The 16,234-nt window shown below is 42.4% G+C and overlaps 1 protein-coding gene across 2 annotated transcripts in view; it reads right to left on the reverse strand.

Annotated features, from left to right (window-relative positions):
- GABRR2 (gamma-aminobutyric acid type A receptor subunit rho2) overlaps positions 1 to 7,252 on the reverse strand; it is a 60,836-nt gene extending 53,584 nt beyond the window's left edge. For both annotated transcript variants that reach the window (XM_047418599.1, NM_002043.5), the window contains exon 1: positions 7,006 to 7,252. In XM_047418599.1, the coding sequence (XP_047274555.1) occupies positions 7,006 to 7,193 (188 nt within the window). In that variant the 5' untranslated portion in view covers positions 7,194 to 7,252. The remainder of the gene's footprint in view (positions 1 to 7,005) is intronic.

Genomic DNA, 16,234 nt, shown 5'->3' on the forward strand with positions numbered 1-16,234 from the left:
CAGGTGATCTACCTGCCTTGGCCTCCCAAAGTGCTGGGGTTACAGGCATGAGCCACCGCGCTCGGCCTTCATTCACTTTTGAGGGCAACAGGTGTGTTTCCTGTTTAAACTCTGTAAGAGGAAAGTGATGGTTTCCTCTCTGGAGGTTCTGATCTTGGAGGCATCCTCTTATGAAATCCTTAAGTTTCATTCCTCACCGGCTCTGCCCAGATGGCATAATTCAATGGGAGGCCTAAAGCTGCACTGATCAATAAAGTGGCCACTAGACACATATGGCTATTTCAATTAATGAAAGCTAAATAAATGACTGTTCGGTTTTTCCATTATACTAGCCACACATATGTGTTCGATAGCCCCATGCAGCTCGTTGCTACTGTACTGAACAGTGCAGCTATATAATCTTTCCATTACCTCAGTGGAGTGTGATAATAAAAAAAAATTAAATAAATAAATAACATTTCCATAATCACCAAAAGTTTTATTGTTTGGTGCTAATATAAAAGTTAGCCTGCCCACCCCAGATTCCCCTATAAGCCAGGGCTTTCCGATTTACACCCCTACTTCTAACACTGCCTGGCCCAGCTTCTCACTGCCCCAGACCTCCCAGTCATTTCCCCACCCGCTTGAGGGCTCAGGAACAACCTGCTTCTCTTTCTCTCCATTTAGTTCCTCCCATCAACCTTGAGGATGTCAACATCCACACAGACAGTTGTCCCACACCCTGGTCACACAGTTCCCCAATTCCTAGACTCAAATTGATTTGTGCAACATATTTTTATAGAGCATCTACGTTTCTATAGAGCCCCTACTCTGTGCAGACACTGCCCGAGCCATGGGGAGGGCATATATTCACGGTCCTCACAGGGCTTCCAACCTAGTCGGGGAGGTGGACGATAAACCAGTGGACAGATAAATCACGTGACAAAGTAGGGTAAGGAATAGAGAGCTATGGGTTGGAATAGAGGGCTGTTTAGATGAGGTGACTGGTGATTCTTCTGAGTCCTGGAGGGAGGGAGGGAGTCATGAGAGGACCTGAAGGAAGTAATTCTGAGAAAACAGCAGAGCAAATGTCCTGAGGAGAGCCTGACTTGCATGAGGACAGCCTCCCATTTGGCAGCCATCTCACTCAGCCACTCTCACATCTGCTTTCCAAACTCACCCACCCTCTTGTCCTTCCACCCTGCTGCTGCCTTCCACATTGTCCTGCCCTATTTGCACATCCTCCAGACGTGTAGGTGGTGAGGTAACTGAGGCTCAGCAGAAGTGCCTAATGCCCCTTCTTACAGAGTCCTTTGAACCCTGCCCTCATGCCCCCTCCCCACAGCTTCCTCAGCTTCTCCCCCTTTCATGGCTCATTCCCACCAGTATTCAAACTGGATTCTAGGCTCTCCCACCTGGAATTACAACTAAGCAGAAAACCCATCTAAACTCCACATCTTCCTCTAGCTCTCAATTCATGCAAAATGCATTGAAAGTGATGGCAATATAGGTGTGTTGGTTATATTATTTAAACATTTCCTTTTTTAAAAAAATGTTTAAGACTTTTTTTAGAGTAATTTTAGGTTTGCAGCATAATTGAGCAGAAGGTACAGAGTTTCTATATGCCCTCTGCCCCTAAACATGCATGGCCTCCCCACTATCAGCATCCCCCCTGGGTTGGTGCATTTGTTACAATTGATAATCCTGCATTGACACAGCATTAGCATTAGCACCCATGCTTCTTCTTCTTCTTATTATTATTATTTTTAGAGACAGGGTCTTGCTCTGTTACCCAGGCTGGAGTGCAGTTGTGCAATTGTAGCTCACTGCAGCCTCAAACTCCTGGGCTCAAGTGATCCTCCCACCTCAGCCTCCTGAGCAGCTGGGGTTAACAGGCACATGCCACCGTGCCTGGCTAATCTTTTTTTTTTTTTTTTTGTAGAGACAGGGTCTCACTATGTTACTCTTGGCCTCAAGAGATCTTCTTGCTGCAGCCTCCCAAACTGCTGGGATTACAGGCATGAGACACCATCCTCAGCCTAGTGTTGATATTCTCTGGGTTTGGACAAATGTATAATGATGTATATCCACCATTATGGTATCATATAGAATAGTTTCATTGCCCTAAAAATCCTCACTGTTCCACCTAAAAAAAAATTTATTTCCCCCCCAGTAAATAATTAACTCTTCCAAATAGCCATCTTCCACAGGCTGCTGGCACCGCCTCACTCCAAGCCCTCTTGCCTACTTATGCCCAACCCCTGGTCCTACAGGTGCTCTTGCTGAGGTCTGGCTTCTCCACAGCTGCAGACAGGAAGGTCCCTGCTTCTGCCAGAAACTGTGTCTTTCAGAACAAAGTACTCTGGTTTTCCTCCTACCTCTCTGACAGGCGCTTCTCCACTGCAGCATCCCCCTATTCTTCACCCCATCCCTTAAATGTCAGTGTCCCCAGGACCTTGTCCCAGCCATCTTCTCTCTCTACCCTCTCTTTGGCAGACTCACCTAAGTTGATGGCTTAAATTGTCATCAACATGCTGATGTTCTTAAATCCCTACCCTCTACTCTCAACCTTTATATCTGATTCCTAACTCAGCATCCCTAATTGAGTATCCTATAGGCATCTGAACTCAATGCATGCATAGTTTGGTTTGGGCCGCACTCAGTTTGAAGTGGCGTAGGTTGAAGAATGAGTGAGCATTAGATGAGAAGCGGGAGGGGGTGGGGGGTGTGGTGGGAATGAATGAAGAGAATGAAGCTGCAGGGACAAGCAGAGGCCAGGCCAGGCAGAGCCTTGAGAGTCATGTTAAGAATTCTGTCTTTATCCAAAGGTAATGGGAAGACAACGAAGAGTGTTAGGCAGATGGAAGAGGAAGCTATGATAAGATTCGCTTTTAGACAAGCCTATTATAGCTTCACAGGTCAAAGAGGAAAGTCCAATTTAACTTCCTCCCCTGTGGCTGAAATACGGGACTGTCCAGTCCCCTTAAGCCATGTGTAGTCATGGTCGGGTGCTGCCAAGGAGCTTTCACACACACACACTGATCTCTTCCTCAAGCCTTGCCTCCAGGAGTCAAGTGGGGCCAGGCCTGGGTCTCTGGGCAGTGACCGTGTGAGGTGCCACGTGCAGACGCCCATGAAAGACGCCTCCGGAAGGCAGATGAAGAGCTCAGCCCGAGGGCTTAGCAGATCATAGACATTAAACCGTAAGTGCAGCCGGCTCACTGCCCCTCTGACTCACAGGGAGTAAATCCCTCCTGGTCAGCACAGTTTTACATCCATTTAGGAAAAGGCTTAGGAGAGCGGAAGTCCCAGAATGCCACCCACCCCAACAAGAGAGAGATTTAAATCCCACTGCCATTGAGGGCCCAGAGTTTTTTTAAGAGATCAAGCCACTAAGATCCTGAGCCTTGGGCTATTTGTATGAGCCATATGCTCTCCATTCATCCTTTCACAGGAGATGGCCCACACAGTCTCGGCCCTCAGACCCTAGACTCCTTCCTGAGCCCCCACCCACCCATGGCAGGGCAGCCAGGACCTTCATGGAACCTCAAACCCGGCCTTTGGGTGAGGGGTGAGGGAAGAAGAAAAATGGATCCACTATGCCTTTGGAAGCAGGGCTGATGTCACCGTGTTGTGGTTTTTTGGCAATAACAGCAACCAGGATAATCAGGTGTTCGTGGGTGCCCCTCCTCCCTGTGCAGGCCCTGAACTGCAGGACGTTAGGCAGACCTCACCCCATCTTCACATCATCCCCATGGGGAAGGGCTCACCACCCCCCTTTTCAGCTGGAGAAACGGAGGTTCAGAGAGAGCAGGAAACATGGCCACATACGCTAGATGGCGGCAGAACCAAGGTCTGAACCTGATTTTCCTGAATTCCCAACTCCTTTTCCTTTGCCAAGACCCTCAGCAGTGGATGAGGGTCACTGTGTGGCTGGAAAGCAAAGCTGCTCCTGCCTCCAGCGGAACAGAACCACAGTGCAGACCCAGGAAGGATGGCCGAGGTAGGGGTAGTGAGGAGGCAGCAGATGGGGAAGGAAGCTACAGAGGGGGCTCCACGTTGAGACCTGCAGGGGCCTGACAGTACTGTCCAGGGCACAGCCCAGAGTCAGCTCTCAAGGGAGAAGTGCCTCCCTTGGCAAGAAAGAAGGGCAATCGTGTGGTCAGGAGGCCAACTTTGGCAGCAGGCCAGGAGGAGTAGGAATAAAGTTGGAAGGCTGAGAGCTGGGAGAACAGAACAAAACCAATAACAGCCAAGAGGAAACAGACTCACTCTGCAGCCATTTAGTACACAGAGACACAAAGCAGCAGAAAATAGGGGCTGGTCTTTGTAAAAGCAGCTGCTGGGCGGAATCATTGTTCTGTGTGCATGCCTTGGCTGGGGTGAGGCAGGGAAGGCTTCCAGGTTCAAAGAAGTCTTCACAGTGTGCATGTGTGAGGGTGACCATGTGCATAGTGTGTGCCCGTGAAGTCACATATGTGGCATGCGGTATGTGTGTGAGTGTGACCGTGTGTGTGAACAGGACTTCTAAGAAAAGGAGCAATCCTAAAGAGAGAAAGCACTCTAAGACTGTAATCAGAAGGGGTCTGGTCATTTTCTTATTTGTTCGTATAGCTTGACACCTGCGTGTCAATAATGAAAGTAATTTGGAAAAATAAATTGTCAGAGGCTTGGCTGAAATGTTCACAAGGAGGCGTCACCCTGTTGACTGTCTGACTGTGTGTGCATTCTCATGGATGCAGAAAGGCCCAGAACCACATTCCCTGTCCTTTTCCCCCAGCCTCAGTTTAATAAATATTTTACTTCCTTGAAATGTATGTGTTCATCTTTTCCCACTTTAACACCTCATGGGCTGGATTTCAACAAAGTCTCCTCCCCACTAAGAGTCAGAGCCCAGCTGTGCCCAGGCTCATGCGCGGGTTTGGGAATGAGACTGTGGACTTCTGAGGAAAAGTGAGACGGAGGTGCCGCCAAGCCCAGGCTGCTGAGTGGGGTCCCTGGGCACCCCAAGGGACTTGTGCTGAACCCCAGTTCTTACAGAATAGACAGTTTTGAACAGATTTTCCTCCAGTCTAAGTAAATCAGGAACCTACATTCTAGTGTTGGGAAGCCACTAGCAGGCCGTGTGACTTACTCATGCCCCTGAGCCATTTCAGCATCTGTCAAATGAGTTGACTTGGACAGTTTCCCAGTGTGTGCTCCATGGAGTAGGAATCCCACAAGACAGTCCAAAAAACTGTGGATTTTTTAGTTGTTTCTGAGAAGCCCTGCATAATTTATCCCTCTCTTCAAGATTCTCACAGTGCCTATTTGCATAACAAAGGTTCTAAAAGTTCTGCTGTAGAGACATCTGTTGAAAATGGTCTAAACCAGGGTTTTCCACGTTTTGGTGGCCCTGGAACCCCATTTCACTCAACAGCCATTCACGTTTCCCAAAATTAGAGTTCAGGGGACTTGCTGGGCCGATGACATCTGAGGCTCCTTCCAGTTTAACAGCCTATGGTTCTGGCAACCCAACCCGCATGGGTTGTTCAGAGCAGGGCCTCTGAGGGTTTTGATCTGTTTGCCTTCCGCTGAGTAGGACTAGGCTCCAGAGAGAGTAATTATAGGCTGGGTGTGGTGGCTTCTGCCTGTAATCCTAGCACTTTGGGAGGCCAAGGTGGGTGGATCACTTGAGGTCAGAAGTTTGAGACCAGCCTGGCCAACATGGTGAAACCCTGTCTCTACTAAAAATACAAAAATTAGCCAGGCATGCTGGTGCACGCCTGTAATCCCAGCTACTCGGGAGGCTGAGGCAGGAGAATCGCTTGAACCCGGGAGGTGGAGGTTGCAGTGAGCCAAGATTGCGCCACTGCACTCCAGCCTGGGTGACAGAGAGTCCATCTCAAAAAACAAACAAACAAATAAACAAAAGAGAGTAATAACCTCTCCCAGAGCAGCAGTTGCCACTGGGATACTGGAAGTAGAGGCTGTAACTCTTATTTATATTCAGGGTTTTTTTTTTTTTTTTCTAAAAATAAGAAATCAATTAAACTTTAACATACATATTTATAACAGCACATGTATGTGATTTGTAAGTAAATATGCATGTATTAGAGGTACAGTTTCAAAAACTTGTCATTGACAGCAGCGCATGTTCAAAAATGTTTGGGGACTGACCTAGAAAATGTGCCTCAAGATATTAATTTATATTCAAAACCACTAGTTTATCTGATGCTTAGTAGAATGGAAAATAAATGTGTAACATGCCACACATGGTGTTTATATCTTAGCTGCTTGTTCTTTTCTTATCTCCATGTCTAACAGTCCTTATGTCTACTTCAGGCCTGGAGTATGATGCTTCGTATGTCAATTCAAAATAAACTTCCTAAGGAACTTAGATTTGTAATGTAATGATTTTGAATGCAGATCCTGGGCTATTATTTCTTGGGAATGTCTCCATTACATCATGAAATTGCATTCACTGTTGTTCACACATATATTTCTGATAATTAAGCAAATTTCTGAACACCTCTTCTAAGATTCAAAACAGTAAAATGAAACCCAATATCATTATAAAGTTATTCTCTGGCAAATAATTTAAGGAAGACAACTCCCGTATGCATTTTTTTCTTAATAGTTCAGGCTAGGTTCCTATATACAGTTCTCCCCAAAATACTTGAGTGTAATTATTTAGCAGGTCATCGGTTGTAACCCTGAGAAACAAAGCAGCACAATGTGATTTGTACAGAGAATGATTTTACCCACTACGTCTCCAACTATTTATATCTGCCTCAAATCAAAATGCTTTGGCTGAACGCAGGCATCCGAAGGAAGGCTCATCCCAGTCTAGTTCTGCTCTCAATGCTTGTGACACATAGAGTATGTGTGCCCAGGGAGAGGCTGCGTTCAGTGAAGTAGCTGGGTTCTCATTCTCATAGGGCGATATCTCAATAGGACCTTAGCCCCCTGGGGAGCCATCCCACTGTGCCACTGCTGCTGCTACTATGCAGGGTAACCTCCCTCCTTTCCCACCTATGACTTTACCTTGGCTTGGGCATTTCCACCTGCCCTGTCCATCGCTTCCTCTTGGGTTTTCTGCTCTCCACGAGAACCATCAAGCAAAACAAGAACAAAATGAGTCTTGTAAAATAAGGCATTTTGTGGACATCTGTGAGGCAAAAAGCTGCTTTCCAGTAGCCTGTGGCAGAGCAAATCCCCCCTGGCTTGACCATTGATCCATCTGCTGCCTCCTGACGGGCTGCTCTGAGGGGCTGTGAGGGCAAGGCTGGCCAGGCTAGTTGTCCCGATTTACTATTTGATACTGACGCCCCACTCACCCCCTCCACTCCGGGCCATGACACAAACACCAGGCTTTGCCCTCCCTGCTGATTAGTGATTGGCCATTAGTCGAGAAGTTTGTCCTCATGAAATTCTGCTTCCACTGAATCCTAGAATAGCTTTGGCTAAAGCTGTTATATAAAAAATTAAATCTCTTGAACATGCCAGCTTTGTGCTGAGATTATTGGTCCATCTTCTGGCTGCATAAAACCAGTCTGTCCCATCCACCAGGGGGTCAGCTCGGATTCCAAGTAGATTTGCAGAGAGGACTTGGTGGACATTTAGATGGGTACATAAATGTGTTCAGGAAATGCTGAGTAAACATGAATGACCTGTTTCCTTAGGGTTGATTTATTTATGGAGCTAAGAGAATATGCTTTGCCTATGAGCAAGGATACTTCCTTTCTCACAAATATAGATCAACTTTTTCCAGTGAAAACATCAAAGCATAAAATACATTTTTAGTTTCAAGGATGACATTAATCATAGAATTCATGATTATGTAAGCTTTTCTTCCTACCATAAGCATTAAATTAACTTTGGCCTTTAACCCTAAAATGTATAAAATCAATCATAAATTAGGCTTTATTCCTATCCTGGGATATGGAATTAAGCACATTAGAATTGTAGAGATACATGTGGTTATGTCTAACCTACTGAACAAAATAGAATATGTTTAAAAACTACTCATTGCTTGCTATGTCCTGGCAATGGAAAATTTCATGGTAGAAACATAGGGAGATGAGGACAGAGATCAGGAGGTGGGATAGCCGTAAGTGAAACAGAATTGGGATTTTACTATGTATAAATGACAGAATCAAAAGAAGCTCTTTGATTCCCTTAAGCAAAGTGAGATGGCATGATCTACTTTATTTTTGAAATAATTCCTAATTGGGATCAGTCGAATCAGGGAACTTATGATGACAAAAGAGAATAAGGTCCTGCTCTGAGGGAAGCGAAGAAGGAAGAAGAGAAAGGAAGACAGAAGAGTGAGATACTCAAGTTAGTTCTGCGGTAGCATACATTTGGTGCCTGTGCAGATAGAGTAGAAGGTGAGAGACAGAAAAGTCAACAATAATATCAAGAATTCTACGGTGGCTCACACTTGTAATCCCAGCACTTTGGCAGAGGCAGGTGGATTACCTGAGGTCAGAAGTTCAAGACCAGCCTGGCCAACGTGGTGAAACCCCATTTCTACTAAAAATACAAAAATTAGCCAGGTGTGGTGGTACGTGCCTGTTAATCCCAGCTATTCAGGAGGCTGAGGCAGGAGAATCACTTGAACCTGGGAGGCAGAGGCTGCAGTGAGCCAAGATCACACCACTGCACTCCAGCCTGGGCGACAGAGCATGACTCCGTCTCCAAAAAAAAAAAAAAAAAAAAAAAAGCTAGAGCATGAGCCTGGAGTTCAGGAGAAAGTCTAGTTCTATTTCTAGACTATAGAAATAGATCTGGAGCTGTAGAGACCAAGTGAAAGTTTTCCCTTTGCCCCATGGAGGATCACCAAAAAATCAACTGACAAAAGGAAGATTAATAGGGGAAAAGGCATACAGATTTATTAACATGCATGGAGGAAAATCACATCATGATTACCCAATTACCCAGCATGGTACAGACATTTATATACCCTTTTTCATAAGGAAGAGATGGGGGATGTAGGCAATTCTTTTGAGGGACAGTAAATCATTAGGGAGGATGAATGGACCCAGGAGGAAAGTGAGGGGTGGAACTACACAGGAACTAAAGTTGTCTTATACAGATAAAGTCCAACAGGTAATCTCTTAAAGCTGCCCTCAGAAGACTAGATGAAAAGTCTATCTGGGTGCAGTGAGAACTCCCAGTCTCTTCTCTTCTCAGATGGTTGATTTTTCCTGGTTATTTTGTGAGATCCCTAGGTAGGGGGTCTTAAGTGCATTTAAACTTTCTTAGATAGGGAAATTCCAGAGAGTCCCTCCCAGTTCTTTGTGCAAGAAGAGCAGAGAGCCTGACCAATCAGTAGGTTAACAAAGAAATTCAGACAGAAATTTAAAAACTTTTTGAAATGAAAAAAAGTACAGCATACCAAAGCCTGTGGCATATAACAAAAGCAGTGCTAAGAGAGAAATTTACAGTATTCAATGCCCATATCAAAAAAGTAGAAAGATCACAAACTAACAAACTCCTATGGCACCTCAAGGAACGAGAAAAGCAGAAGAAACCAAACCCTGAGTTAGCAGAATAAAAGGAATAACAAAGATCAGAGCAGAACTAAATGAAATAGAGACCAATAAAACGATACAAAGGATCAATAAAAAAAAAAGTTGTTTTTTTGAAAAGATAAAGAAAATTGACAAACCACTAGCTAGACTAACCAAGAAAAGAAGAGAGAAGCTCCAAATAAACACAATCAGAAATGAAAAGGGAGACATTACAAATGATACCACAGAAATACAAAAGATCATCAGAGTCTGTTATGAACAGCTTTATGCTCACAAACTAGAAAACCTAGAGGAAATGAATACATTTCTGGAAACACATAATCTCCTGAGATTGAACCAGGAAGAAATAGACCTCCTGAACAGACCAATAACAAGTAGCAAGATTGAATCAGTAATAAAAAAAATCTCCCAAAAACTAAAATAGTCCAGGACCAGATGGATTTACAGACAAATTCTACCAAACATACAAAGAACTAAAACCAATCCTCCTGAAACTATTCCAAAAAATCAAGGAGGAGGGAATTCTCCCTAACTCATTCTATGGGACCAGTATCACCCTGATACCAAAACCAGACAAGGACACAACAACAACAAAAAAAACTACAGACCAATATTCCCAATGAATATAGATGCAAAAAATCCTCAACAAAATACCACAAATTGAAAACAACAGCACATCAAAAAGTTTATACACCATGATGAGGTACGATTTATCCCAAGGATACAAGGATGGTTCAACATACACAAGTCAATAAACATGATACATCACATAAACAGAATTAAGGAAAACTATGTGGTCATCTCAATAGATGCAGAGAAAGTGTTCGATAAAATTCAGCTTCCCTTCATCATAAAAATTCTCAACAAACTAGGCATAGAAGGAAGATATCTCAACATAATAAAGCTCATATATGACAAACCCACAGCCAACATCATACTTAATGGGGGAAAGTTGAAAACATTCTAAGAAGTGGAAGAAGACAAGGATGCCCACTTTCACCACTCTTATTTAATATAGTACTGGAAGTCCTCACCAGACCAATCAGGCAAGAGAAAGAAATAAAAAACTTCTAAATTGGAAAAGAGAAAGTCAAATTATCCGTGTTTGCTGATGATATGATCTTGTTTCTAGAAAACCCTAAAAACTCCACAAAATCCAACCATGGAGGATGATGAAAAATTAAAAAAGACTCCATAAAAGCCCTCTTAGATTTGATAAATGAATTTTGTAAAGTTTCACAATACAAAATTAATGTACAGAAATCAGTAGTGTTCCCACACACCAGTAAAGATCTAGCCAAGGACCAAATTAAGAAGGCAATCTCTTTTACAATAGCTACAAAAATAAAATAAAATACCTAGGAATATATTTAACCAAGGAGGTGAAAGATCTCTTTAAGAACTACAAAACACTTATGAAAGAAATCCTAGATGACACAAACAAAAATGAAAAAACATCCCATGCTCAAGGATTGGCAGGATCAATATCATTGAAATGGCCATACTGCCCAAAGCAATCTACAGATTCAATGCATTCCCTATCAAATTATCAAAATCATTTTTCACAGAATTAGAAAAAAAAAATTCTAAAATTCACATAGAATCCAAAAGAGCCTGAATAGCCAAACCAATCCTAAGCAAAAAGAACAAAGCTAGAGGTTTTACCTGACTTCAATTATGCTACAAGGCTGTAGTAACCAAAGCAGCATAATACTGATATAAAAATCAACACATAGATCAATGGAACAGAATATACAATCCAGAAATAAAGCCACATACCTACGGCCTGGGCAAATAATTTATGACCAAGTCCTCAAAAGCCAGTGCAACAAAACCAAAAATAGACAAACGGGGCCTAACTAAACTCAAAAGCTTCCTGCACAGCAAAAGAAACAATCAACAGAGTACACAGACAACCCATAGAGTAAGAAAAAATATTTGCAAACTATGCATCAAAGGGCTAATATCCAGAATCTACAAAGAACTCAACAACAACAACAACAAAAACAAGTAACTCCATTAAAAAGTGGGCAAAGGACAAGAACATTTTTCAAATGAAGACACACAAGCAGCAACAAGCATATAAAATAAAATGCTCAACATCACTAACCATCATAGAAATGCAAATTAAAACCACAATGAGGTACCATTTTGCACTAGTCAGAATGGCTATTATTATAAAGTCTAAAAACAAAAGATGTTCACGAGAATGCAGAGAAAAGGGAATACTTATACACTGTTGGTGGGAATGTGAATTTGTACAACCTCTATGGAAAACAGAATGGATAGTTCTCAAAGAACTAAAAATAGAACAACTATTCAATTCAGCAGTTCCACTACTAGGTATATACCCAAAAGATATCAAAAAATACTGCACTCATATGTAACAGAGCAGGAGCTTCACCATCTTGGACAAACACCACCATTTTAAATTTCCCTTGATTAAAAAACAAAACAAAACTGCCTAAATCCAGCCCCAAAACATCAGCCTAATGGCTAACGTCAGAATAACCAGAAACATTCCAACCCCTAAGATAAACCCGCTCCAACCAGAAACATGCCAACCCGGAGATAGCTTCCTCTCTAACCAGAGACATTTCAACCCCACAGTAACCTTTTCCTCACATAGAAACACTCTGAACCTACAATAAGCTCCCCTCTTCCTAAACCCTTAAATATCCTTAGTCTGTAAGAGAGAACACTCCTGACCAAAAATCGGCCAGAAGCCCCTCTCAGGTTTATTCTCCAAAATAAACCTGTCTTTGACTGTTGAGCCACTTTTCATGTTTCTTTCCTTTTTCTTTAACTCTTACAATACGTTTATCACTGCACTATTTACGATAGCAAAGACATGAGACTGATGTGCTGCCTCCTGCACTAAGGAGGCAACTTCCATACCAAAGATACAGAATCAACCTAAGTGTCCATCAACAAAGGATTGGATAGAAAAAAATAAGGTATCTATTTATGCCATGGGATGCTACTTAGACATGAAAAAGAATGAAATAACATCTTTTGCAGCAACATGGATAGAACTGGAGGCCATGATCCTAAGTGAAATAACTTAGAAACAGAAAGTTAAATACTGCATGTTATATAAGTGGGAGCTAAACAATGGGTATACATGGACATACCGAGTAGAATAATAGATACTGGAGACTTCAAAATGTGGAAGGGTGGAAGCGGGGGTGAGGGTTGAAAAATTACCTATTGAGGCCAGGCATGGTGGCTCACGCCTGTAATCCCAGCACTTGGGGAGGCCGAGGTGGGTGAATCACCTGAGGTCAGGAGTTCGAGACCAGCCTGGCCAACATGGTGAAATGCCATCTCTATAATAAATACAAATATAAATACAAAAAATTAGCTAGGCATGGTAGCATGTGCCTGTAGTCCCAGCTACTTGGGAAGCTGAGGCAGGAGAATCCCTTGAGCCCGGGAGGCGGAGGTTGCAGTGAGCTGATATTGCGCCATTGCACTCCAGCCTGGGCGACTAGAGAAAGACTCTGTCTCAAAAACAAACAAAAAACAGAAAAATTATCTATTGGATACAATGTTCACTATTTGGGTGATGGTTACACTGAAGGCCCAGATGTCACCACTAAGCAATATATATGCATGTAAGAAATCTGCACGTGTACCCTCTAAATATATACAAAGATAAAAGTGTTTTTAAAAAGAGGAGCAGACAGGGATATGGGAGAAAGGTCAGAGAGAGACCTTGCTTTTGAGACTTATTTCTGAGGCCTTTCAATTTTCAAAGCACGCAACATGCTGAATCATTTTCTGCCCCCAACAGAGGCATTAGCGTATGGCATGTCAACTTAAAATCATGAGACCCATACGTTTGGAAAGGAGAAATTTATTTCTTATAGAGAATTGTAACCTGCAGGCTGGGAAACAAAGCCTCAGGCTGAGACAGAAAGCAGGCACTTCTAGGGAGGGAGCATGTTATGGGAGTTTTATACTTGAGGATTGGCTAGGCATGCATATTTGTCAGGATATGAGGGCTATGAATATTTATGAGAGGAGATCACAGGTGATAAGCAAACATGTATGTCACATACGTCCCATTTTCATGTTAGGGTGGAGACAATGTTAAAATGCAGCAAAATTAGTCTCTATACCTCAAAAGGTGAAACGGAAGACACAGAAGTACCTTGTGTGCAGCCTTCATGGACAGAACTGCAGAACCACTCTGCGGTCAGTGGTCACTTATCAGGAAGGAATGCCTTGTCAGTTGTCGTGTGGAAACTGCAGGAGGGGAGGGAAGTTCCCCTGCAGCATTAAGCAATTGGCTAAAGTCAGCAAAGGAGTGTCTTGTGTTCTTTGTCTTTCTAAGTTTGGTTTCTGTTTAACTCTTAGGAAAGTCTGGCGAGTGTTAGTGAGGAAGGGGGTTCAGTGAGGCATGACTGACCTTCCCATGGCTGGGAGACATAGTTTTTAAAGTTTTTCTGGGGTCACCTTGGCCAAGAGGGGTTCATTCAGTCAGGCACTTAGGATTTTTCTTTTATTTTTATTTCAATAGCTTTGGGGGTACAAGTGGTTTTTTGTTACATGGATGAATTCTATAGTGGTAGATTCTGAGATTTTGGTGCACCTGTCACCCGAGTAGTTTTTTATCCCTAGCCCCCTTCCCAACCTTCCCTTTCAAGGTCTCTTCTAAGTCCATTATATCACCCTGTATGCCTTTAGGTACTCACAGTTTAGCTCCCACTTATAAATGAGAACATACAGTTTTATACACCAACAACAAGCAAGCTGAAAATCAAATCAAGAACTCAATCCCTTTTACAACAGCTGCAAAAATGAAAATAAAATAAAATAAAATAAAATAAAATACCTAGGAATATACTTAACCAAGGTGGTGAAAGATCTCCACAAGGAGAACTACAAAACACTGCTGAAAGAAATCATAGATGACACAAATGGAACACAAAACCCATGCTCATGGATTGGAAGAATCAATATTGTGAAAATGACCAGACTGCCCAAAGCAATCTACAGATTCAATACAATTCTCATCAAAATACCAACATCATTTTTTGCAGAATTAGAAAAAGCTATCCTCAAATTCATATGGAATCAAAAAAGAGCCCAAATAGCCAAAGCAATCCTAAGCAAAAGAAACAAATCTGGAGGCATCACATTGCCGGACTTCAAGTTATACTACAAGGCTATAGTTACCAAAAAGCATGGTACTGGCATAAAATTAGGCATGTAGACTAACAAAACAAAATAGAGAACATAGAAATAAAGTCACATACATACAGCCAACTGGTCTTTGACAAAGCAAACAAAAACATAAATTGGGGAATGGACACCCTATTTAATAGATGGTGCTGGGAAAACTGGCAAGTGACATGTAGAAGAATGAAACTGGATCCTCATCTCTCACCTTATACAAAAATCAACTCAAGATGGATCAAAGACTTAAATCTAAGACCTGTAACCATAAAAATTCTAGAAGATAACATGAGAAAAACTCTTACAGACATTGGCCTAGACAAAGAATTCATGACTAAGACCTGAAAATGATTTTATTTTTATTTTGCAGGTGGTAGTTTAGCTATAGGAAAGGATGAAATCTTCAGGGACATATTAAGAGGTCAAAGTTCAAGCACAGAATCTTGGAGAATCTTCACTCTTAAAGGATGGATGGAGCAGCCAGAACAAAAGCATAGAAATGTCAACCTAAAATAATGAAAAGTCTCAGGATCCAGTTAGAGTTCATTCAAGTGCAAAGTATGAGGGTGGCCATCAGGGAAGCAGAGCTACACCCAAGAATGGTGATCAGTTGCACCAAGTGTGGGAAAAAATGAGGATTGTTTATACAAATCAAAACAAAACAAAACAAAATGGTGGTGTTGAACAGAATTACGTTTCCTCTACAAAGGCTCATGTGTAAGATTTGATTGGCTGCTATTGATTACACTCTAAGAGGGTTGCTTAACATTCTGTTGCATAGAGGTAACAATCACAAGAGTCTCCATTTCCAATGTCATTTAGCCTAGGTTTGAATGAAGAATGAGGTGTCTGGTTAGCGTATAACATTTCAACACAAAGGTCAGGAAGTAATGGTCATGTACCAGAGAGGAAAAACAGCCATGTGCTGTGAGTCAGTTTCCAGGGCTTAACTTTTCCCCGTGGCTTAATAAATCTAGGAGGTTCCAAAATTTTATTTTCTTCTTACAGAAGAACTAGAAAAGAAGTTGACTATGAAAACCAAAGAAGGAGCTTCAAGGAGGAGGGTAGTCAACATGCAGTGCTGTGAAGAAGTCAAGCAAGGCAAAGGCAGAAAATAGGTTACTGGATCTGGCAACAGCACATCATTCCTGACTTCCGTAAATGCAGTTTCACTTGTGAAATGCAGCAGGAAGCCAAATGACAATGGGTTAAATAGGTACTTGAGGCTGGGAGTAATTCATTACAGGGACTAATTCAGTGGTTCCCAAATCTGACCACGCCTCAGAATCATCAAGGGAATTTGTTTAAAAGTCCTTCTCCTCCTGAAGCCTTAGTAGTGGGAGGCATGAGGCCTATTAAAGTTCTTTTCCATAGATTTTGTTCAAAGGATCTTTCTTTTCCTTACTTCCATTTGGAATAAGCTTATAAAGGACTGGCTTGAACCCTAGGATTGTGCCTGGATGTGTAATCACCCAACAAGTTCCCCTTGCGCACTGTCCAGGCAAAGCCAATTCATCAAGACAGGGGAATTGGAATAAAGAGTTCAATTCATG

Source organism: Homo sapiens, chromosome 6, assembly GCF_000001405.40.
Source record: "Homo sapiens chromosome 6, GRCh38.p14 Primary Assembly".
NCBI classification, from domain to species: domain Eukaryota; kingdom Metazoa; phylum Chordata; class Mammalia; order Primates; family Hominidae; genus Homo; species Homo sapiens.